Here is a 27418-nt window from a genome sequence, read left to right as displayed (position 1 = left end):
AATGACCAGAAAGAATCCTGTTAATAGTCACCTAATACTCCTGTTTTTGTGTATATATGCTTTTACTACTAACCAATTCCAATTATGCAAGATATATTTAATATATTCATCATGTCACATAACTTATTTAGAATCTGGGAAACATTTTTCCTTAAAGTACTGTTCTATTCAGTTACAATCCATTATTGGTAGAATTGTATTTTAACAATTGAAGACAATGCTGTTTTCACATTCTTAGAATTTTTAGCACATTGATTTTGTATCCTGAGACTTTGCTGAGTTTGCATATCAGCTTAAGGAGTTTTTGGGCTGTGACAATGGGGTTTTCTAAATATACAATCATGTGGTCTGCAAAGAGAGACAATTTGACTTCCTCTCTTCCTATTGGAATGCACTTTATTTCTTTCTCTTGCCTGATTGCTCTGGCCAGAACTTCCAATACTAAGTTGAATAGGAGTGATGAGAGAGGGCATACTTGTCTTACGCCAGTTTTAAAAGGATATGCTTCCAGCTTTTGCCCATTCAGTATGATATTGGCTATGGATTTGTCATAAATAGCCCTTATTATTTTGAGATATGTTCCACCAATACCAAATTTATTGAGAGTTTATAGCATGAAGGGAGGTTGAATTTTATTGAAGGCCTCACCTCAGCCCCAAAACTCCTTAGGCTGATAAGCAACTTCAGCAAAGTCTCAGAATACAAAATCAAAGTGCAAAAATCACAAGCATTCCTCTACACCAATAAGAACAAACAGAGAGCCAAATCTTGAGTGAACTCCCATTTACAATTGCTGTGAAGGGAATAAAATACCTTGGAATACAGCTTACAAGAAACATGAAGGACCTAGTCAAGGAGAACTACAAACCACTGCTCAAGGAAATAAGAGAGGACACAAACAAATGGGAAAACATTCCATGCTCATGGATAGGAAGAATCAATATCGTGAAAATGGCCTTACTGCCCAAGTAATTTATAGATTAAATGCTAATCCCATCAAGCTACCATTGACTATCTTCAAAGAACTAGAAAAAACTATTTTAAATTTCATATGGAACCAAAAAAGAGCCCTCATAGCCAAGACAATCCTTAGCAAAAAGAACAAAGCTCGAGGCATCACGCTCCCTGACTTCAAACTATACTACAAGGCTACAGTAATCAAAACAGCAAGGTACTGGTACCAAAATAGATATATAGACCAATGAAACAGAACAGAGTCCTCAGAAATAACACCACATATCTACAACCTTCTGATCTTCAACAAACCTGACAAAAACAAGCAATGGCGAAAGGGTTCCTTATTTAATTAATGGTGCTGGGACTGACTAGCCATATACAGAAAACAGAAACTGGACCCCTTCCTTACACTGTATACAAAAATTAACTCAAGATGGATTAAAGACTTAAATGTAAAACCTAAAACCATAAAAACCCTAGAAAAAAACCCAGGCAATGCCATTCAGGGCATAGGCATGGGCAAAGACTTCATGACTAAAATACCAAAAGCAATGGCAACAAAAGCCAAAATTGACAAATGGGATCTAATTAAACTAAAGAGCTTCTGCACAGCAAAAGAAACTATCATTAGAGCGAACAGGAAACCTACAGAATGGGAGAAAATGTTTGCAATCTATCCATCTAACAAAGGCCTAATATCCAGAATATACAAGGAACTTAAACAAATTTACAAGAAAAAAACAACCCCATCAAAAAGTGGGTGAAGGATATGAACAGATAATTCTCAAAAGAAGACATTTATGCAATCAATAAACATGAAAAAAAGCTCACCATCACTGATCATTAGAGAAATGCAAATCAAAACCACAAACGGATACCGTCTCATGCCAGTTAGAATGGCAATCATTAAAAAGTCTGGAAACAACAGACACTGTCGAGAATGCAGAGAAATAGGAGTGCTTTTACACTGTTGGTGGGAGTGTAAATTAGTTCAACCGTTGTGGAAGACAGTGTGGTGATTCCTCAAGGATCTAGAACCAGAAATACCATTTGACCCAGCAATCTCATTACTAGGTATATGCCCAAAGGATTATAAATCATTCTACTATAAAGACACTTGCATATGTATGTTTATTGCAGCACCATTTACAATAGCAAAGACTTGGAACCAGCCCAAATGCCCATCACTGATACACTGGATAAAGAAAATATGGCCCATATATACCATGGAATACTATGCAGCCATAAAAGGGAATGAGTTCATGTCCTTTCAGGGACATGGATAAAGCTGAAAACCATCATCCTTAGCAACTAATACAGGAACAGAAAACCAAACATCACATATTCTCACTTGTAAGTGGGAGTTGAACAATGAGAACACATGGACACAAGGAGGGGAACATCACAAACCAGGGCCTGTCAGGGGGTGAAGAGCAAGGGGAGGGAGGGCATTACAACAAATATCTAATGCATGCGGAGCTGAAAACCTAGATGACGGGTTGATGGGTGCAGCAAACCACCATGGCACATGTATACCTCCTATGTAACAAACCTGCATGTTTCTTATAGTAAAATAAATAATAATAATAATAATTTTTCAAGCACAATATCCAACATAAACTCAAAGATAAAAAGACACAAAAGGAAGGAAGATTCCAATAGCAAGAACCAACACAGAGGAGGCATATAGGGATTCCAGATAATATAATTAGTAGACACAGATGGAAAAATAATGATGCTTATGTTGTTTTAGGAAATAAAATGAAGCCTGAAAATGTTATCAGGAATTTTTACAAACAGACAGTCATAAGTAACCAGCACTCAGATGAGAAATACATCACTGACTCTCGAGAAGTCACCTTATATTCCTTTCTAGTCACTGTTCCCGCATGGGATTCACTATCCTCACTGCTAATAGTATAAAGTTAGCTTTATCCATTTTTGTACTTTATTTAAATGGAAGTATACAGCTTGTACTCCTTTGTGTTGGCTTTTTCACTTGTTGTATATGTGAGATTCATCCACATTGTTGTTTGTGGTTGTAGATTTTTCATGCTCATTGCTGTATGGTGTTCTATTGTGTAAAAATACCATTAAAAATCCATTTATAGGCAAAAAAAAAAAAGAATTTTTAGACCTAGTGCTACTGACAAATATTTTATAAAATTTAAGAATTACTTGGATACACAAAGTCTATGTTTTAAGAAGAAAATCAGTTTAAAAGTTTTGCAAAATACCTGGGCAAAGATAGGCAGATGTCAAAAAGTATGTTTTTCTTTTTTTCTTTCTATTTTCACTCAAGCCAGCTTTTTTTTGGAAACAAACTTTTGGCTTTTGCTTAGCTACCCAGGCCTAAGTGCTAAAATCAGACCTTAGTGAGGTCTTTCTCAAACAATGTGAAATGCAAGATGTAAATTTTACACTCAATGTTCTTGTGAATTACAGTTAATAGAGCCAAGCAGTATCTTCAGTTTTGAGAAATTAACTCTTAAGAATTCTTTTAACTTCAAGAAAACTAAATAGTCACATTTTACCTTAGTTTTAAGCTTAATTTTTATTTTAAGGCAAGTACAGTAATTTTGGATTCATTAACTCATTTATTGAGGTGAAATACACATAATATGAAATGAACCTTTTTATAGTGAAGAATTCTGTGGCATTTACTACATTCACAGTGGTGTTCAATGACCATCTCCATCTAGTTCTAAAAAATTTTCATCAGTCAAAAGAAAATCTCCTGTCCGTTAGCAATCATCCTGCTTCCTGGTATCTGAAGGTGATTTTTCATATATTTTTAGTGTGTTTGTTTATTTTTTAGATTTTCTCTCTCTGCTAGATAATTTTATTTAAAATATTATTTCTGCATCATTTATAAAAGAAATAAACTTTAAATCTCAGATTTGTTTTTTATTTAATAAGTACATTTCATAAAATTTGTCCAGATACTACACATGTTAAATTACACAAAATAATATATTTTAATTTTGTGTATTACAGTTTTCTAATTGATACACTTTATGCTGTTATTTACCTTTTAGTTTTTAAGTATAATTTTAAAACTCATATAGGAAATGACATATTTGGACACTAAATATTGACCTAATGAATATTCACTTTTGAGGAGAATTCGAAAAAAAAGAAACAATTATTTTTCTACTATGTTTGTTTCCTCTGAGATAAATAACTTATGTAATCAGAAAACAGTCATGTTAAAGCAAATACTGCAAGTGAAAGACATGTCAAATATGCCTTCTGTAAGAGCAGAAAACAGTGAAAGCAATCAGGTTGCCAATGACAGTTTAGCCAAGGGTGATAATCCCTATTTCATCAACTACATTTAAACAACTCGGTTTCACATTTCCTCCAAAGCACTTTGTACATGTCACAGCACAAATTAGTGAAGTCTAAATTTCAGCTTCAGGCTCCATGTGTCATTTAATAGCATACATTTGCTAACTGTAGCCAAAAAGCAAGCTTCCATCAGGGACTCTGAAACTCCTCATTTACATGAGAATGAGATGTTAATGTTAATTGTGTTACAGATATTCTGGTCTCCCCAAGGAGTTCATTAAGCATGCTGAACATGCTGAGATTATAACTTAACTGTCACTTCTGAGAAATTGGGAAAATTCAACTTCAGATACAACACAGTCGGCAATAACAAGCACAATTTAATGTATACATTGCTCTGAATCAGAGATGGACCTCCATTGAAATATATAATCTCTCTGATTTCTATATTCATTGCTAAAATACTATGTAATATCTGGGAATTAAACAATCCAGAGGACTTTCCTCCTGCCCCCACTTCTCTTCCTGCATATATGGATATATTACCTACAGGTTTTAATTACTTAAAACATTTGTGGCACTATGGAGGTCACCTGAAACGCCTCATTTACATTAATAAAACTTGTAAGAATAAATATGAAGCAAAAAATAGAAAAAAATGTTAAAAAAGAATGAAATTCACCATTATATTTAAACAAAATTTATATACGTATATATGTATGCATATTATATATGTAGCAATATTAATTATTTGGAGAGGAATTTAATTTTATAAACATTGTTCAAATAAGCCTAGAGATATTTTAATTGGGATTGCTTTGTATAATGACAAATCATCTATATGTAGGACACAGGACTCCAATCCTACAGTAAAAATGTCCTTCCACTTAATAGATACTAGAACATTAGCTAAAGAGCATTGCTCTTTTTCTCAAACAATGTTTCAGTGTTAATAAAGTTTCACTCAAAAGTGACATGTACAGCTATGCTGCCAGAAAAAAAAAAAAGAAGCTTTTTTCTTTTTGTCTGTTTCATCTCATTTTTTTCCCTCTGATGCAACCAACCAGTCTTTCTAGTTAATGTGTTCATCCATGCTGGGAGTGGTGAGAGATATTCAGTGTCAGAATAATCTGAGATTATATTCCAATAGTAGAGACAATGAACACAGGTACAAACCAACTTCGCCAAGTGGTGATGACTAAGGCAAGATAGGAGAATAGAGAGTAATGAAGAGGAAAAATAAAGCAGGTGAAGAAAAGAGTGATTAAAAGGACTATGTTTAGGCTATGTTTATATAAGAGATGCTCGTTATACTTCCCAATTAGTAGTCTCTGCCTATGTACATATCTGATACAGATGTGTAAACTCAGAATTTGCCAGATGCATTCCATTACAAATGCACAATTCCACATTTCTTTAGTATGATATTCATATATACCATATAAAGCAAGTAAATCAGAAGTTTTACCTAACATAACATTTTAAACTCTAATTTTTAAAGAGTCCTTTCATTGAGGTAAGTGCATTTGAGAGGCACATTTTACATCTTTCTCTAAACTCGTTATGCAATCTTTTGCAACAATAGTGAAACTTGGAATATGGAAAAGCTAATACAGAGACTATATTTGTGCTTCTCTTCTGGTTTATTTCTAGAATGAACAAACTTGAATGTCCAAGAACTAGAAATATTTTGCCCTGTAAGGCTTTTGAATCTCAACCCTGCTACAAAGCAAATCAATCAGTTGATGAAAACTAAAATGTTTCACCAGGTTGGCAACAATGTTAAAAATCTGTTGTGGTGTTCCTTCAATGGCTAAAAACTTTTTAAGTTAATTTGTATTATGCTTTTCCTGTATTTTAATGCTATAATTCCCTTTTAAAGTATTTCCTGTTAATGTGAAGAGCATTGACTCCTTTTGAAATTTTATCTAGCTTATCATATTTGTCATGAGTACGGATGCATACGTGAAATTCCTTTAAGAACTCCTCTCCAAGTGATTGTGATGGCTGCCTCCTTTGAACCACAAAAGCCCTCTTTTTTCCCTCCTCTTACCGTGTATCATAAACTTCCCAATGGGTACTTTTCTTATCCTCCCCAAAACACCTACGATTCCCCCGGCTGGATACCCAATTTATCTTTGTCTTTCAAGAACGTTTCTCCATTTATTTTTGCAGACCTCTTTGTATAAATCTGAAGGCCCACATATTAAACAAAGGAAGCATTTTCCCAAATAATACTGATATCAATAGTATACTAATGGATACAATTATATTTTTATTCTGATTTGATTATGAAAACATTTAGAGACCACTTATAACTACATTTTTTCCAATCTTTTTCTCCTATTTTCAGCCTTACTTCATCCCCTTGGGAACTCTATTATATAGTTATGGTATATTCTCCTTACATTTACCTCAACACAAACACACACACACACACAAATACACACACAACCATATAAATTCATATAAATATAAGGTGATGTTTTATGTATGGTTTTCTAAAATTATTTGACTGTTATTAGAATTTCAGTGTATTTTATAACTGGTTTTTACAAAAACTATTTTTAACCATTCATTACTGAAAAAATGTTTATTATTTCCACATTTTAATACTGTAATTAGTGGCACACTGTATGCTCTGATATACCATTTCTTATGCAGGCATACCTTGTTTTATAGCACTTTATTTTATTGTACTTTACACATATTATGTCTATAAATTGGAGGTTTATGGCATCCTTGCCTTGAACAAGTCTATTGGCACCATTTTTCCAAAGGGATGTGCTCAATTTGTGTCTCCGTGTTACATTTTAGTAATTCTTGGAATATTTCAAATTTTTTCACCATTATTTTATTTGTCATGATGCTCTATCATCACTGATATTTAATGTTACTATTGTAATTATTTGGGGACACCATGACCCTGACTATATAAGACAATGAACCTAATAAATGTGTGTTTTTACTGCTCTATAGACCAGACATTACCCTGTCTCTCTCCTTGGGCCTCTCTGTTCGCTGAGACAAAACATTATTAAAAATAGGCCAATTAATAAAATGCCTCCAAGTGTTCAAATGAAAGAAAAAGCAGCACATCTCTCACTTTAAATCAAAAGATGTAAAAGAGAAATATTGAAAGCTGAGAAAGGCTACAAGCTAGGCCTCTTTAACCACCAAAGAGTTAGCTAAGTTGTGAATGCAAAAAAAGTTCTTGAAAAAAAATTAAAGTATTATTCTGGTAAACACATGAATGCTAAGAAAGAAAAACACTTTATTGCAGATATGGAGATAGTTTTAGTTCTCTGGATAGAAGATCAAACCAGCCAAAACATTCCCTTAAGCCAAAGTCTAATCCAGAGCAAGGCCAGAATGCTCTTCAATTCTATGAAGGCTAAAAGAAATGAAGTTTTTTAAGTTAGGAGAGGCTGGTTTATGAATTTAAGAAAAGAAGTCATCTCTCTAAGATAAAAGTGCAAGACGATTCAGAAAGTACTGGTGGAGATGCTGCAGCTAGTGATTTGGGAGATCTAGCTGAGACAACTGATGAAGGTGACTACATTGTGGAAGAGATTTTCTATTTAGATAAAACAGCATTCTACATAAAAAAAGATGTCATCTAGGACTTTCAGTGCTAGAGATGAGAAGTTAATGCCTGTCCTCAAAGCTTCCAAGTACAGGCTGAGTCTTGACAAAGGCTAATGTAGCCAGTGACTTTAGGTTGAAGCCAATGCTCATTTACCATTCTAAATATCATAGGGCCCTTAGAACGATGCTAATTCTACTATTCCTTTGCTCTAGAATGGAAAAGCAAAGACTGGGATAGCACATCTGTTTACAGCACGGTTTCCTGAATATTTTAAGCCCCCTGCTGAGATCTACTGCTCAGAAAAAAATATTCCTTTCAAAATACTATTGCTCATTGACAGTGTACCTGTCGCCCAAGGGCTCTGACGGAGATGTATCAAAAGATTAATATTGTTTTCATGACTGCTAATTCAATGTCCATTCTGTAGCCCATGAATTAAGGAGAAATTCTGACTTTCAAGTCTTATTATTTAAGAAATAGACTTCATAAGGCTATAGCTGCCATAGATAGTGATTTCTGTGATGGATCTGGGCAAAATAAACTGAATACTTTCTGGAAAGAATTCACCATGTTAGATGCAATCAAAACCATGCATGACTCATAGAAGAAGGTCAAAATATCAACATTAGCAGGAGTTTGGAAAAAGTTGATTCCAGCCTTCCTGGGTGACTTTGGGGTTTCAAGACTTCAGTAGAAGAAGTAACTGCAGATGTAGTGCAAATAGCACAAGAACGAGGATTAGGATTGGACCCTAAAGATGTGACTGAATTACTCCAATCTTATGATAAAACTTAAAGGGATGAAAAGTTCCTTCTTATGGATGATAAAAATAAGTTTTTTTTTTTATGAATCTACTTCTGGTGAAGATGCTGTGAACATTATTGAAATGACAAAAAAGAATTTAGAATATTCCATAGATTTAGTAGGTAAAGCAGTGGCAGGGTTTGAAAGGATTGGCCCCAATTTTGAAAGAAATTCTACTGTCAGTAAAATGCTATCAAACAGCATCACATGCTGGGCAGAGAAATCTTTCATGAAAGGTAGAGTCAATCAATTCATCAAAGTCATTATTGCCTTATTTTAAGACATTGTCATAGCCACCCCAACTGTCAGCAACTACCACCCTGATCAGTTAGTAGTCGTAAACCTCAATGCTTGACACTTTATCAGCAAAAACATTACAACTGACTGAAGGCTCAGATGGATGTTAGCATTTTTTAGCAATAAAGTATTTTAAATTAAGGTAAGTACATTGTTTTTTAGAGACAATGCCATTGCACGCTTGATAGACTACAGTATAGTGTAAATATAACTTTTATATGCACATGGAAACAAAAAAATTTGTGTGACTCACTTTATGGTGATATTTGCTTAATGGAGGTGGTCTGGAATGAAACTGGCAATATCTCTGTGTGATGAAGTTATACCAGTGTACAAAATTCTGGAATCAGAATTGGTTGATTGCCTAGTATTTACAGTTTTCCCTTTAATTAAAACTGTTACATCACTCTTCATTATAATTCAATTATTTACATTAATACCTGCAGTATATGAGAGGTTTTTTCCACAAACTTAATGACTTTAGATTTTAATCCAAATTCTAATTGTTTTCAAGTTTATTTGTGTAGATACAGGTAATTTATTGTTGTTTCTCTGATCAATAGTGAGATTGAACACCTCTTTATATTCATTTACTATTTATTTGCTTATTCTGTTATTGTCCTCTTTCTTACTTTTATCTATTTTTCCTCTGGGTTATAAGTATTTTATTTTTAAATTTGTGGAAACTCAAATATATTCTAGATTTCCATTTACTAACTTTTGTATTAATTATACATCTATTAATAATTTTATTTATTTTATATATTATGTATTTTGTAAATACCTCCTCTCAGTCCACCACTTAATTCTGAACTTTGTATATGATGTGATATACCATAAAGAGAGGTTTTATTTTAATGTAATTAATTATCTCTTTTGTGCATGCTTAATGTATTTTGTATGTTATTAAAGAAAATATTCTTCAGACAGAATGTATATTATTCCTAATGTCAGGTGTTTTATATTTATCCCTCTCTACATTTGTCAGCTGGTCCTCATAGTCAATATTAGAATATATTTTTAATATCATTTATAAATTTGCTCAGTATTTTATACTTAGTTGTTTTAGGTTTAATACATTAGCATTTCATCATATCTTGCAAACAAGGGGTCTCCAAAGATATATTTTCACAAGAATTGAGAAACAATGAGAAGATTCTGTGACACTAGAAAGCCTGGCTATGCAACTACAATAGGGTGTAGTCATACACAGTGAATCTGAGACCCAGGAAAGCTTCGTGTGGTAATAAAAATGAAAGAGGACTTATAAATGAGAGTAAGTGAAGGAAGACAACATAGAAATGCAGAGGAAAAACGATGAACAGAAATTTTACGTGTTTTACATAAATTAGATAAATGACGAGTTAATGGGTGCAGCACACCAGCATGGCACATGTATACATATGTAACTCACCTGCACATTGTGCACATGTACCCTAAAACTTAAAGTATAATAATAATAAAATAAAAAAGATTTATCTTTGTTTCAACTTTTTGTATTTTTCAAAAATTGAAAACACCTTTCACTTATTTCACTGGCAAAGTTATTATGTGACAATGAAAGTGAGGCGTTATTGATTATTCTGCTTGGATACATAGAGTAAAATCTATTTCACAGGTTGTTTCTTGAAAATTCAGCTTAACCAATAGATTTGGGCAAACTTCCTCCTTTTGTCAACTTCATTGCTTCTAATTACTCCCTCAATGACTAGACTAAAAAAATACAAACATCTGCCTCATTAAAAACAGAAGCCAAAAATGTAAAAAACAATGTATTCCCACATAAGAGATGCTCATAAAAACAAAATTTAAAAATGGAATACAATGAGTGGTATCTTTAAAAACATTTGTCTAATTTTCTTTAGACTGAAAGTGATTTCTTTGGGACTCTGATTCATGGAATTGTGCTTATTCTCATGGATGATTATATATTATTTTGATTATTATTGTGATTACTGTTGTGTGAAATGAATTTGGCAGTCCCAACATAGTGTTAATTTTCATTGTCCTGACACAGTGTGACACATTGGAATCAATGGCTATAGAACAACAGAAATTAGATAGAAAAGCCACAGTAGATTTATGTTCCCTGAACACACATTTCCTACTTTACAGCCAGAAGAAAACTGAGGTGATTGTTGACTTACCTGGAAAACCACATACACACACATAAAACAGGCTGATAATATAAATTTCTTTGTTACATGTATTATGTTTTGGTAGTTAATAAAGTATCAATGTTCCTTGCACTTCTTCTTTGAGTTTAATTTTAAATCTCAATTAAATTTTGAAGACCTCAAAGTTTAGATATGAATTTCACTAAATTTTTAATATTTGGAGTTTTAAAATCAGATATGCAAAATCTACTCATTATAATTGTCTAGATAAATAAATAATATTAGAATTAAGATCAAAATAACCCATTTATTCTACTACTATCATTAGAAAAGTTATATACCTTTCATTTAATTGATTATCTTATCTCTGTCTTGCCAAACAACTAGTTGATTTTTTTCCACATAACCCATTTTTTTTAAGGTAACATGGATAAATGGTCAGATGTTGTGTTTAGGGGAAAGAGTGAATGTCAAGAAAGTTAAGCAAATGAGGGGTAAAGTCTGAGACTGGACTTAAGTAATTGGCTCGGTGGAGGACAATGCTCCATTTCCAGGACTGCCTTATAATTGCTCATTTACACATTCTAGGAAGTAAAACAACTGAATTCACTTCACAGTATTACCAATTAAACTGTTTAAGAAAAAGACCTGCTGATAATGTATTAATGATAAATGTTCCTTTAATGCACGTAAATGCATGCTGGGAATCTGTAATTGCAACATTTAATTTCTTTTAGATAGTTATGTCACCTTACTCCTATCGAGAATATTTCTAGTCTTTGTCCAAATTTGCTCCACAAGAATTTTCTCTTTTCAGCAATAAGTAATATTGTAATAGACATATAAATATTTAACAGTTTTGTTTTTAAGAATATTTGCAACACCATAATTTAATGATACAACATTTTTAAAGCTCTTTCAGAACAGCGATGCAGGAATTGCCACAATATAATAACAAAAAGAAAATTAATCTCAACAATTTTTTCAAATAAGCAAACCTCAATTTTGATATCACACATAAAAATGTTTTTACCTTGAATATCAACTTTCATACAGTCATTGAACCAATATTTATTAAGCATTTCTATGCCAGGCATTGTCCAAGCATGTGTGGTACAGCACAGAAACACACATATACATAGGCAGATATGCATATATACACACAAACACATCCCCTGCCTTGTGAAGGCTTCATTTTAACAGGACTTGACACTCAATCCCATATGAAATTTTAAGATCAGAGTGGGCTGACAATGTAATGTTTCCTAGTTTTACAATCAGCTAATAAGAAGCTAAATAATTATTTGCATTTCATAGTCTTCAGTTTTCTTACCCACAAAATAAATCTCCAATGATCTTCAAAGACCTTAAGATTTGTTAGAGTATTTTTATATGAATGTAAAATGAGATTGGATACTGCCCTGTGCTGGGGGAGAGCGTACTTAATGATGGATTTTGATTCTACTAAAGGACTCAGAAAGTAATGTGAATGACTTAAGGTGGGTGACTGTGCCCATCATAATCAAATGCAGTGATTTTAGTCTTTGCCTGGTAATGCTGAATAATCTTTCAAAGAATCTTGATCACACTGTGTATTTTTAGACAAAAAGCTGAGATGAATTCCAAAGCCTTAGCAGTTAAAACTGCTATGTTTTGAACAATGAACTGAGAAATGTTTCATATGATTAGGTCATGTTATTACTTCCCCACAATCAAATTTAGATCTATAGACAACTAGTACTCTAGTAGACTTTTGGCAGCATGCACACTTTGGAAACAAAAGACAGTATTAACTGATAAGCTGGATCCACTCAGGACATCAACATTGAAATTATACTTAAAGGCATTTTTCTATGTAACCATCCTCTTCATTACTCTCTCATGCTACCTAATAAGTCTTGTTAAAGTGAAATTGGGATGGAAACAATCTATTCTTCCAAGCACTCAGATTATTTAACACCAAGGTGTTCATTTGCGAGTTACTGGGATACTAGGGTGAGAAACAAATGCTTTTAAAAATACAATTCACATTCCTAGTACAAGCATTACATATTATCTATCATCCTTCATCATTACTGCACTAAATGGTACAGTATCCCATCTTCTTTCTCTCTATTATCCTCATTTTATTTTATTTCCTCTGGAAATCTCACCTTTTTGACTGCTATCTTTTAAATTAAGACAACACGATTATAACTATTTTATCATGGTGACAGTATGTACCAACCAATGCAACAGTGAGCTGCAGCCATTCACAGGAATCATGATTTGGAGGAGGCTTATAAATTTCATGCCTATGCCTATATCTCTTCTGATAGTTCTTATCAGTGAAATAATTCCAGAGTTAATGGAAATGAGGCTGTAAAATGTGTAACCGTAAAACATGATTATCTTCTGCCCTGTAAACAATATTAAGAAGAAATTCTTTGTTATCACCTGTAGGCCATAGAAATTTTTTTTAAAAAGTGTGGTAGATTCAGTTAGTAGAGATTATTAAGTATTATTAAATGATCATCTTTAGTATGATTGTACTTATTATATGTACTGGTTACCAATCCCTCTCTATAAATAGACACTATTTTTAAAAGGTTTATGTAAAATTAGTACACAATTTTAAATTAAAGATATCTACATAAACTGATATTTAGAAAAGTGACATAATTGGTTAAATTTCTAAGTGTATTTAACACAAATATTTTCCTACTTATTTACTTCTCATAATGTCAGTTTTCAAATTAAGTAAGATTTACATTTACCATCTGTTCACTTTTAGTAGGCCTGTTAGAGAATTAAAAATGTATCCTAATCTGCAGTCTTCTAAGTACCAGATGTTTATTATGTGGCACTAGAAACAAAAAATCAATAAATTAAGAAAATATAAATCTAGTGATTCTAGATTTCTCAAAATAACAATGTTTTAGTCAAGGATCTTCCCCCTGAAAATTATGTGTAATTTTAAGTGTTTACTTCTAAATCATGCATTTTCAGTTTCATCAAAGTGCCTCAAAATACCTAAATTTTATTCATCACATGCATATTTCACCAGCAGCATGGTTACAAATAAAAAGATAACATGAAATTCAACCCCGATTTTGTCTAACATAACACATTACCCACCTATCACAATGAGGCCATTCATGACATTGCTCTAGAGTATAATGGTTCTATAAAGTCCTAAACATGTGTCTGTGATACAGTTGGGCAAACTATGTGGTTATCTAATATCACACCAATTATGGTAGTTTCTAAATTCAAATATATGATAGTTAAGAATGAGCCATCAAACACTGGTGGAGTGAGAGTAATGAGGGAGGGTAAGCTGTATTTTATGCCGCTCTCCAGGACTCTTGCCATAAGAAGCACATTTCTTGGGAAAGAGAAATATTGTACATTGTTCCTGTACTCTCTGTACTATTTATACAATTGTAGTGACAATATTAAAACCGAAAATTTTTAGTCAGATTCTCTGCATCATAATTAGCAAAGTCTTCCCTCCAAAGTGTTGTTTTATATACTCCTTGGTCTTTAGACTAAAAAGAAAAATATGTTTCATAGACTCTTCAAGAAAAAAAGAGCATTATTTTTCTATCAATGAGTCTTCTTTCCAGAAGAATGCCTTGTCTTCAAATTACATAAGAACTTTATGAAATAAAGTGTAAATTGTAATATACAGTCTAATTTCCAAACTTTCTGAAAAATAAAAGGAATCTATAAATATATATGAAAATATATATACACGTGTCTTTGTCCACCAATTATATAATCTTAATCTCTACTTTTTTCTAAAAGCTTTATTGAGATATCACTGACCTATAAAAATTAGATATATTTAAAATGTACAACTTGATATTTTGATATATTTATGCATTGTAAAGTAATCACCACGTTCAAGCTAATTACCGTATCAATCACCTCTACATGGTAATTATTGGTGTGTATATGCAGAGAATATTTAAGATTTACCCACTTAGCAAATTTCAAATATACAATACAATATTTTAACTATTTCTTATAGTGTACATTACATCTCCAGAACTCATTCATCTTGCATAATTGAAACTTTGCAACTTTCGACAAACAGCACCCCGTTATCCCCTCTCCCCAGCCCATGGAAATCACTATTCTACCGTCTACTTCTATGAGTTGGAATATTTGAGATTACACATATGAGTGACATCATGCAGTATTTTTCTTTCTTTGTCTTGCTTATTTTGCTTAGCACAATGTCTTCCAATTCAACCCATGCTGTTGCAAATGGCACAGTTTCCTTATTTTTAAAGAATGATTAATATTACATTTTATATACCACATTTTCTTTATCTGTTCATTTTTTTGAAGGACAATTAAGTTGTTTCCAATTTGGCTATTGTGTATAATGCTGCAATAAACATGGGAGTGCAGATATCTATTGGAGATCCTGATTTAAATTCCTTTAGGTGGATCCCCAGAAGTAGGGCTGCTTATTCATATGCTAGTTTCACATTCCCACCAACAGTGTACAAGGATTCCCTTTGCGCTGGATCCTGGAAATACTTGTTACTCTTTGTCTTTGATAATAGTCATTCTAATAGGTCTAAAGTGATATCTTATTGTGGTCTTAATTTGCATTTCCCTGATGATTAGACTTGTTGAGCAGCTTTTCATATGCCTCTTGACCGTCTGAATTTCTTCTTCCATGAAATGACTATTCAGATCCTTTGTCCATTTTTAAATTGGGCTATTTGTATTTTTGTCATTGACTTGTATAAGTGTCATCTATTTTGCATATTAGCTCCTTATCAGGTATGTAGTTTTAAAATAGTTTTTCTCATTTTGGGGGTTCCATGAGTTGTTTTTCATTTTGTTGATTGTTTCCTTTGCTGTGCAGAAGCTTTTTTAGTTTGATATAATCAAACTTGTCTATTTTTGCTTTTGTAGCCTGTGCTTTTGGTGTCACATACAAAAATTTATTGTCAAGACCAGTGAGAAGAGGAATTTTTCTTATCTTTTATTCTAAGAGTTTTATAGCTTCAAGTTTTATGTTTAAGTCTTTGATTTAGCAAGGTGTATAAATAAACCCTCACTAAAAGAAACTGTTACTACTGAAGTTCAATATGTACCTTAGTAAAAGAATTTTTACTTGAACATTTAAAGAACATATTAAAAGCAGCACTATTAATGCCAAAAACATCCTAGGGAGTAATATGTATCATCGACCCTTTATATTTCATAGAAGGTAGCTGACTTCAATTCTACAAAACAAAAGCTATGAGAAAAGCTCTACTTTCTACCCAAAACCAAATTTTTCTAGCTTCTGCATATAAAACAAGGAGTGAGGCACATTTCTGAACAGAAGGAGACATATGTGAGTGAGTATCTTAGGAACCCTGCATTCTCTGCCTTTGGAGAAACTGTTCCTGGATGTACATGTTTACCTCAGTCATGAGATAAGTGATATAACACTTGGGTAACATCTACAGCTTTTCCTATGTGTGTCTATATGAGTAAATTCAATTCAGTGGTAAAAGTGTTACAAAACACATTTGCCTTAAACCTAAGCTAAGTTATTAATCAGGTTTATCAGTAATAAAAATATATTCCACTTTATTTCTACAGGTTTATTTTGTATTTCTAAATTGGTTATAACATCAGGAAGAGTGAGAAAGAGGTGCAGGCATTTGTAATTTTCAGAAAAACTCCAATAAATGTTAATTAAATATCTGCCTCTATTATGGTAGAGCATGTCATTCTAAAAAAAAAAAAAAACTTTTGACTACCTTTACCACATTATTATTGAATTATATAGAATTTCTACTCTATCTTAAGTTTTGAATAATTATAACAGTGACAGGACATTAGATACAGTAGAAAATGGAATAAGCATTAAACAGGGTTTCAATATTTTATTTTAGCTAATCTATTCATATTTAAAAGCACATATTTTAATTTTTACAATGATAAGAAGTGATTAGTGTTGAAGAACATCACAAATTAAATATTTTAGTCTCCAATAATGTTTCTTATTAGAGACATAGTATACTGAGGATAAATGAGAAAATTGTCAGAACTTACATAATACTCATTGACTCATCACAAATGATGTGTAATTATCACAAAATGCTTTTCCCAGTAAGTCAGAGAGAATGAGTTCAAGATATATGCAGAAAATAAAGAAAAGTATATATGTGTTTGAAAAGGAGAATCAGGCCTGATCTGCCTGATTAAAAAGCTAAAATTTTCCAATGTTATTGCAAATAGGAGTGGCTAGTTGATTAAACTGCAGTTAAAGGAATCAGAGTTAAAAGTTACCGAGTGATTTGTCTAAAAGAATTTCTTACAAAAAGAGATGATTTCATAAACATTCTTTTGTACTTGTCCTTTTTCTCTTCTTGCTTCCTGGACCATGGATATGTCTGAAGCTACAGCTGTCATACTGAAATCATGAAGCTAAAGGCTACAGAGGGCTACTAGAAGCCTGAGTTTCTGAAGACTGTGTGGAACCATCAAAGCAGCCCTGAATATTTCCCTTGAGACTTTTCCATTATAGGAAGGGCAAATAAATAGATGATGTATGATGTATGATGTTTTTACTTAGTTTTCTTCATAATTCTACTGAAATACATCATTGAAACCCAGGAATTCTATACAATCTTGAGTTTAGATTGGTGAAACATTTATAAAACATTTAGAACATTATCTCCCAGTTTCTATGGGTCACAAGTCTTGGGATAGCTTGAATAAATAATTATTTTTCAAATTCACATGGTTATTGGCAGATTTCAGATCCTTGCCATTGTAGGACTAAAATAAAATGTCTCAGCTCACAGATGTAGTTTCCTGTGATGTTGTCCTCTCCATGGGCCATTCATATTACAGCATCTTTCTTCTTCAACGCAAGTAGGAAAGTCTATCTAATGCATATGTAGATATAATTATATATAACCTAACCAAAGGGATTGCATTCTATCCTCATCTCCTTTGTCGTATTTTATTAGAGGTGAGTCACATGTCCTACCTACACTCAAGGTGAGAGTATTTATAGGAAATCCACCAGGTGCTGGAGAACATGGAACCCATATTAGAATTTTGCCTAATACATCAACTAAAAAAAATTAATCTTGCGAAGAGAGTCTGTTGAGAGTTTCTTCATCTTTTTCTACATTTTTTCACTAGAAAGAATGTTCTAGATGGCTTTTCAGAGAACCCCCCCCCCTTAAATCTTTGTAGAATTACTTAAATGTAGATCTCAGTATATTCCCATCATAAAATATATTTATTAATCTCTTCCAGTCTAAATTGTGGTTTAATCTAGCTCTCCAGAGTCACAACTTACTTGTCAGGAAGAAAGAACTCTCTCAATACATACTGCTTTTTACCAAAAGTTTTCAAAATTCTTAACAACTTTTAGAGTTAAGATTTCCTTAATCAAAAACCCACATCATAGAAGTTTACAATGAAAAACTTCTGGAAAGAGGCATTTTCTAAACTTAACCTGAAGTTTAGCTCTCCTTCATTCTTGTGTTTATGCCACTGTTATTTAAGGTGTATGTATCAAGACAATGGGCAAAAATGAACATATTTTTGTTCGTTCTGTCATATTTATTCTTGTATTTGTCCTGTGTCTTGGAAATTGAAAGTCTGATCTTTTTTCTTCTATCTTGGTCTTTATTACACTGTGTTTTAATGATCTGTTTCCACATTTACTTTCCCTGCTGGACCAAGAATTGAGATGGCAAACTCTCTAAGGACAGGAAGTTCATTCAGTTGATGTTTCTATTTCAGAGCTTACTCAGGCTGAAACTTAATTTTATTTGAACTGAGGGAATGACATCTTTTTTTTAATGTTATTTATTTTAAAGTGATCCTAACTTGTTTGGCAGAGTCTAAGTAAGATGCCACTTTACAAAATAAAGTATTTTGATATTATTTAAAAAGAAAAAGTAAGACATTAATATTTGTGTTCTTAGAGTCAGGGACCCAATTAGACAATTGTCCTAAAATCCACACTAGATATCTGAGGATAGCTCGCATACGTAAAACAGATTTGTTAATGGTATCTACATTAACAAATGTAGACATGGTATCTATGCTCTTGTTTTACATGAACTCTGGGTGAGTTAGAAGTTAAAATATTTATAAAAAGAGTTCACTTCTGTATTTTGGGATAAAGATCTTTGTGCTAAGGGGCTCCCTACAAAAACCATTAAATAGTACTCTATGTATTCAAAAGGCAGCAGAAGAATCAGCATTATTAATAGAAACCCTTGCACTTTAAATCTCTTGTTGCATTAAACTTTCAACTACGAAAGCTGAAATTGTGCACTTTTTATGTTGAAATCTCAAATTTGTATAAATATAAATTACATTACCATGAGCAAAATATAGAGGGAAGTCTCGTTAATTTACTTGTTACATGAATTTATCCAAGTATGTGTTTTTTTTCTTTTCACTAGCAAGTATGTAAAACAATTAATTCATTATTATCATTATTATTATTTTGAGACGGAATTTCGCTTTCATGCCCAGTGCAATGGTGCGATCTCAACTCACCGCAACCTCCATCTCCCGGGTTCAAGTGATTTTCCTGTTGAATCAGCCTCCCGAGTAGCTGGGATTATAGGCATGTGCCACCATGCCTGGCTAATTTTGTATTTTCAGTAGAGACGGGGTTTCTCCATATTGGTCAGGCTGGTCTTGTACTCCTGACCTCAGGTGATCCACCTGCCTTGGCCTCCCAAAATGCTGAGATTACAGGTGTGAGCCACCGTGCCCGGCCTACAATTAATTTATTAATGAAGGAATATCTAGTGCTTTCATAAGATCTGAGAGACAAGTAATGCCAATAAATTAAAAATTAGCATCTCTGTTGTATTTGTATGTCTTTCATTTTTTAGCATGTGCATAGAAATAAGAAGATAAGTGAAAAATTAAAATTACAGTTAAGGGGACTTCTAGTTTAGACAAGGGTAGGCCAGTTTTTTTGTTCCTTCCTGCTAGACTACAGACCCCAGAAACAATGCAGGAGGTAATCAAAGAGATCACTGAAAGGTACTAAGAAGGTGATACAGTTTGCGTGTTTGTCCCCTCCAAATCTCATGTTGAAATATAATCCTGAATGTTGGAGGTGGGACCTGGTGGGGGGTGTTTGGGTAATAGGGTGGATCCCTCACGAATGGCTTGGTGCTGTCCTGGAGACAGTGAGTGAGTTCTCACCAGAGCTGATTTTTTGAAAGTGTTTGGCACCTCCTTACTCTCTCTCTTGCACCCACTGTCATCATGTGACACATTGGCTCCCATCACCTTCTGCCATGACAGTAAGCTTCCTGAGGCTCTCACCAGAAGCAGATGCCAGCACCATGCTTCCATGTACAGCCTCCAGAACCATGAGCAAATTAAAACTCTTTTCCTTATAAGTTACCCAGTCTCAGTTATTCCTTTATAGTGACACAAAAACTGACTAAAACAGAAGGAAAACTGGTTTGACTAGAAAAAGAACACAGTCTCAGGGCAATCTTACTTGCAAACATCCCATGGAAGAAGTTGACCCAGACTAAGTAACCCTCAATTTATCAATAGAAGGCAGCCCAGGCAGTTCCAGTCACCCCCCACAACAAAATGAGAGTCCAGTTGGAAACAACAAGCATGCATGGTAGACTTACAAGGGGGACTGATCAGGAGCCCCAGTAACAATAGCAGCCAGAAGAAGTACTTTGTTTTCCATGCAGGCTTGAGAACTCATCACAAGAAGTCTTTCTTGTCCCTCTAGACTTGAAATTATCCTCTGCAGAGACACTACAAAAAGGAAGACAAGGGACACATTTGGGGGATTCCATTGTAACAAATGGTTTGGTCTAGGAGTATTCTTCATCCTAATAGACCTGAGATTCTCTTTCCACACTGGCACACACTGAGGCAGATGGACACAACTGGCAAAAAGCACCTAGCCACAACGAGGAGGTACAACAAAGAGACTTTATATTCTGGAGACTCCACTCTATCCCCAGGAGATGCCGAATGGCCCAACCTGGGGAAGTCTGTTATGTCCCATAAGCCAAACACCACTAGCAGGGACACATGGAAACACTGTGACATCAGATAAACCAAGCAGATCATTGCAAAGCCTCTAAAATTCAAACTGTCATTGGAATCAGAGACCACAGAATGAGGCCAAGACCTGTATGCTAAACTTAAGCAGGGTGAATGCCTATTAAAATAAAAGTTTTAAATAGAACCTAGAGTGTCCTAACCTAATAGACAAAATATCCAGGGTACAATTATAGTCAGGGTCATAAAAAGAACCAAGGAAATTACAACTTGAATGAGAAAATACCAACAATGAGATAAATCAGATATTAGAACTATTTGACAAGGATATTAACGCAGCCACCATAACAAAGTTTCAAAAATTAATTAAAAATTATCTTGAAGGGAATTTAAAAATAGAAAATCTCAACAAAGAAATAAAATTATAAACAGAACCAAAAGTGCATACAGTAAAACATTGTAAAAAGATATTCATTTTCATTTTCTATGAAGAGAAATGAAGTACTGATACATACTTCAACATGGATGTACCCTGAAAACATATGCTAAGTAAAAGAAGCCAGTAACGATAAACTATATATTATAGATTTCCATTTATATAAAATGGTCAGAATATTTAAATCTGTGTAGGCAGACGGTAAGACTGTCTGCTAAGATTGAGGGGGATGAGTTACTTAGGGAGCAATGGCTGAAGAGTACAGGGTATCTTTTAGGGAATAATGAAAATATCTTAAAATCCATTACTATGATGAATGCACAATTCTGTGACTATACTAAAAACTATTAAATTGTGTATACTTTAATTGGGTGAATTGTGTTTTTTTGTGCTTTTTAAGAACCCTAAGAGAATGAAATATTTATAAAACACACACTGCAGAAAATTTTTACAAAACACATATCTGAAAAAGGGCTAGTATATAAAAATATACAAAGAACACTTAAAGCTCAACAAGAAGAAAACAACTCCATTAAAAAATTGTCAAAAGGTCTAAATAGGCACATCACTGAAGAAGATAGATGACAAATAAGCATATTTGCTCAACATCATATTTAATTAGGGGATTTCAAATTTAAAACAACAACAGAATACCACAATATACAAATTAGAATGGCCAAACTTCAAACAACTGAGAAAACCAAATGCTAGCAAGGATGTGGAACAACAGGATCTCTCATTCATTGCTGTTTGAAATGCAAAATGGTATAGCTACCTCAGAAAACAGTTTGGCAGTTTCTAACAAAACTGAAGATACTCTTACCGTAAAGTCCAGCAATTATGCCCCTTAGTATTTACCCAAATGAGATTAAAACTCTGTCCACACAAAAAGCTGCACATGAATATTTATGGCAGTTTAATTAGTAATTGCCAAAATATGGAAGCAACCAAGATCTCCTTCAATGGGTAAATGGATAAACATTTTTACATCCATAGCCTGGACTATTTATTTAGCAATAAAAAGAAAGAACTATTGCTATTATCTGAAAGTTTGGGTCTCCCCAAAATGTACATGCTGAAGGCTAATCACCAATGTCATTTTATTAGGATGTGCGACCTTTGGGAGACAATTAGGCCATAAAGGTTCATGGGGCTAGTGCCCTTATAAAAGCGTCTCCAGAGAGATGCCTTTCCCCTTCTGCCATGTGAAGTCACCGTAAAAAGTCAGCCATATATGGGAAAGCAGTCCCTCAACAGACATCAGATCTGCCGATGCCTTGATTTAGACTTCCCAGTCTCCAGAACTGTGGGAAGTTAATTTCTATTGTTCATAAGTTACTCATTTTAGGGTATTTTGTTATAGCAGCCAGACAACTAAGACAGCTATCAACTGTGGAAAGTCATGGATGAAAGGTTAACAGCATAATGCTAAGTGAAATAAACCATCCTGAAAAGGCCACATGCTGTATAATTCCAACTATATTACATTCTGGTAAGAGGAAAACTAAGCCAAAATTAAAATGCCCAGTACTTTCCAGGGATTCTTGAGAAAAGAGGGATGAAAAGATGAAGCACAAGGGATTTTTAGAGTAGTAAAATTCTTCCATGTGATACTATAATGGTAGACATGGGTCATTCTACATTTGTCAAAACCCTTAGAATGTACAACACAATGCATAAACCCTAATGCAAGCTATGGACTTTAGTTAATAATGTATCAGTATTGGTCAATCGACTATACACAAAATACTACATAAATGCAAGATGTTAATACAGAGGACACTGTGTGTGTGATCCAGCAGGTGAGGACTACAGAGGCTCTCTGAATTTTCTGCTCAATTCTTTTGTAAACTTAAAACTTCTTTAAAAGACACAGTTAATAAATTGAAAAAAGAAACAGTGGATTAGGAAAATGAAAAACATAAAACACAAAAAAGGAAACAAACTGAACAGATGGGCTCAATAGTAGAGATGATAGAAGACAGAATCACTGAATTTTAGGACAGATAAACACAATTCACCCAATCTAAATAATGAAGAGAAAGAAAAAAATTAAAGAAGATTTTGGGAATCTGTGGGACTACAATAAGATATACAATACATATTCTCCTTGCCAGGGTGGATATGGAGTTATGTCCCAATAACCCCATTGTGTTATACATATTATAAGTAGAAAATGCATGGCTGTCTGGGAGCTGTGTCTTGCTGCCACTGCTCAGCATTGCAAGAGAAATACAGTTCTACTAAATGTGTATTGTTGTCACATCACTGTAGGGTCAAAAAATGATAAGTAGAACCGTCATATATCAGGGACCATCTATATTCCTGTCACCACAGTTTCAGAAGAAAAGGAGTGAGATTGAAAGATTATTTGAGAAAATAATAGCTGAAAAGTTTCCAAATTTCACAAAAGACAGAAACTTACAATTCTAGAAGCAAAACAAACCCTAAACAAGGTAATTCCAAAAAATTTATGCCAAGACACATTATAATTACACTTCTGAGACTGAAACAGAAAAAAAGCAAAGCAAAACTTGAAAGCAACCAAAGAAAAATGACTCTACCTATAGGAGAACATCAATTTGAATGCTAGAAATTCCACATCTGAAACTATGGAAGCCAGAAGAAACTGGCACAAAACTTTCCAAATGCTGAAAGAAAAGTACAATCAATAGTGAACTATATATATGGTGACACTATGCCCCAGGAATGAAGGGAACTAATAGAATTTGACTCATAGGTAAAGGGAAACAGCAAAACAATACGAATACAACACTCAGAAACATTAAGCATATATCAGGTTGAATCTTTAAAACATTGCCCAAATAGCACACAGGAAACCAGAAAAGAGAAGCAGAGAAACACACAGAAAATCAATAGTAAAATATCATAGGTTAGTACTAGAATATCAATAATTACTTTAAATGTAATTGATTTGAATACTGCAATCAAAAAACAAACACTGGATTTAAAAATTTACCCATACATGCAGCTTAAAAGAAACTCACTTCAGATTTATTGACATTAGCACATTGCAAATAAAAATATGAAGAAAATATATACCATGCGATAGTAATTTAAAAACCAATACACTGGCTATATTGGTACCTGAAACATTAGACTTTAAATTAATGACAATACTAGAGACAAGAAGAGGCGTGACATAAGATAAAAGTTCAACCAGCAAGAAGACATAAAAGTGTACACACTAAAAAAATAAAGCTTCAAAATATATGAAGCAAAAACCAATAGAGCTGAAAAGAGAAATAGACAAATTCACAGTTATAATTGAAGATTTCAAGTTCATTGACTATTCATGAATGTGAAACTGGCATGTCCAGAGAATAGCGAGGAAGAGAATTGTAGGAGTTGATGTTGGAGAATAGGCCAGAGTCAAATTATGCAAGACCCAGGTGGGTGCTGTGGCTCACACCTGTAATCTCAGCACTTTGGGAGGCTGAGGAAGGAGGATAGCTTGACTCGAAGAGACTAGCTTGGGCAACATAGTTAGACCACGTCTCTAAAAAAAAAAATAGAAAAAGATAAAAATTAGCCAGGTGTGGTGGTATTTGCCTGTAGTCCCAACTATTCAGGAAACTGAGGCAGGAGGCTCATTTGAGCCTGGGAGGTTGAGGCTGCAGTGAGCTGTAATCATGTCCCTGCACTTGGCCTGGGTGACAGAATACAACCCTGTGTAGAAAAAAAAAAGGCCCTTTTAGATGTAATATTTCAGTGATGATAGAAGGTTCAAAATATATTTGTGTAGTGGAACTATCAAGATTTCCTGATGAATCAGACTTTGGAGATTTTTATACAGACAGCTAGGTGGTCAATAGTTTCCTTTGATAAGAGAGAGGCTGGGAAATAATCAGATTTGGAAGGGGGAAAAAAGGAATTTCAGTTTGGATATGTTAACTTTGAGATGTGAGTTTTTATAAAGACTCTCTTGACCAAACTTTAGACAGGCTCCTATGAGTCCACTTTCTACTAGGCCTCATCCTTGATCTTTATACTTAGCCTGCATAGTCCAGCTTTGAAAAGAATCCTGTTATGTAAATGTATTAATAATAAGAATCCCTCCACCCTTCACATATGATTTGCCTTGACATCTGTTCAAGTTTCTCATTCCCTGGCTTTAAAATCCGATTCACCATGATCTGCCTTTAGCAGTAATCCTGTTGAATCAGTTTAACAAGAATCTCCCTACCCTTGATGTCGCCTCTTAATAATTTTCCATTGACTTATCCCCCTCCTCTGGTCTTTGGCTCTAAATCCCTACATGTTCTGGCTGTATTTGAAATTGAACTCAGTTTTAATACTCCCATTGCAATAGTACTGAATAAAAATGGCTTTACTGCCTTTCACTGTGGCCTGACATTATTTCTATTTAACAGTTTGTTTTATTAGATTATCTAATAATCAAACATGAATGCAAATCTTCTCTACCAAAAATCACATTTTTTTTTTCCTGAGGCAGAAAGCCCACTTACATTGGCTTTCTAATTCTTCCCTCCCTTGGAGAAGCAGGTACTGGGCAAAATGCAATTGCTGGATCCAGAGTATGTCTGTTACCATTAAATGTTGATGAATCTGTAGGCCTGTGTGCTAAGCTCAGAAGTACATCTAAGAAAGAAGCCAAAGGTACATCCCTAGCACAATAGCTTCATGGTTCAGTGCAAGTACTGCTATCCATGGAAACGCGGGCTAGCCCTGCATCTTATGTAAATGGGGTCATTTTCTTTCTAGTAAAATAAAACCATTCCTTTTGTGGTTTCACTTCATGTACATCCTTAGAACTTGGACATGTCCTAACATATTACCATCTACTCTAATTTAAACTTTACTCTAGATGAAAACATGTTTATGAAATAAATATTTTAAGGTAGGAAAAAACCTCACTATGGATAGGATATGTTATACTACCAAGTGCTGCTTTTCAGGTGCAATAAGTGTTGGTTTTTAAAAATTATATTGGCTTAGAATTCTCGATACAGATTAATATAGACATAGATATACTCAAGTTACCTTTGCTTCTAGAACAAACAATGCTTCCTTTAATGTGGAAGACGTAATGGGATTCCAATCAGAGCATTCCTAGAAGTGGGAACAGCCAGTGTAGTGATCTTGAGATGGGAAAGAACTTAGCTGTTCAAGGAACAGAGAAGATACCTGTGTTTTAATTTTGAGGATCACTGAGAGGAAGGAACTATATATATATTATATATATATTATATGTAATATAACATATATTATATATGTTTTATGTTATATATGTTATATATGTATATGTATATGTAACATATAATATATATGTTACATATATTATATATGTTATATATTATATATTATTAGTTATATATATTATACAATTTCTATCTTTTAGCAAATCCCATGAAAGAAATGATATAAAATTGTTGCTGTATAATTGCCTGAGCAATTGAGACATATGTTTATAACACTGTGCAGGTTTTAAAGAAATTATCATCTTGTGAAATCACATTAACACAATCAAATAATTAATAATAGCACATCGTGGTATATAATTTTACTAAAGTGGTGTGGTTGATGTCGTTGCATAACAAGGGAAATCAGTGTGATTTCTAATAGTCAGGGAAGATATTATTTTTGAATAAGGACATGGTCAGAAGCTTATCTTAACAAATGAGTCTTTTACTTTTAAAAAAATTCTCAAATATAAGCTTTCATTAATACATTTTAGGAATATCACACTTTTTATCTTAAAAAAATGATGGTTGGGAGTGAGCATGTGTTTCCCTCATATTGAGAAAAATAAAGGCAATTATTGGTTAATGCTCATGTACTTTAAGGAAGAGGACATACGTTGGTAGATTAAAAATAAGTAATAACTTAAGAGACGGCTAGAATTGCCTTTTACAATCAATA

At 33.5% G+C, this 27418-nt stretch overlaps 2 long non-coding RNA genes across 3 annotated transcripts in view; one reads left to right on the top strand and one right to left on the bottom strand.

The window, feature by feature from the left end:
• LINC00395 (long intergenic non-protein coding RNA 395) overlaps positions 1-17611 on the top strand; it is a 70337-nt gene extending 52726 nt beyond the window's left edge. Inside the window, exon 4 of the long non-coding RNA NR_047011.1 lies at positions 17460-17611. This is a non-coding gene — a long non-coding RNA (long intergenic non-protein coding RNA 395). The remainder of the gene's footprint in view (positions 1-17459) is intronic.
• The window catches only part of LOC105370236 (uncharacterized), a 78736-nt gene continuing 63982 nt past the window's right edge, over positions 12665-27418 (bottom strand). The window contains exon 7 of one of the 2 annotated variants that reach the window (XR_942019.2): positions 12665-13454. This is a non-coding gene — a long non-coding RNA (uncharacterized LOC105370236). Of the gene's footprint in view, positions 13455-26545; positions 26660-27418 lie in introns of those variants that run through there. The other variant, XR_942020.1, reaches the window with a different exon arrangement.

This window comes from Homo sapiens, chromosome 13 (genome assembly GCF_000001405.40).
Source record: "Homo sapiens chromosome 13, GRCh38.p14 Primary Assembly".
NCBI lineage: Eukaryota > Metazoa > Chordata > Mammalia > Primates > Hominidae > Homo > Homo sapiens.
Note: the sequence above shows the minus strand (reverse complement) of the source record. Positions and strands in the feature narration are given on the sequence as shown.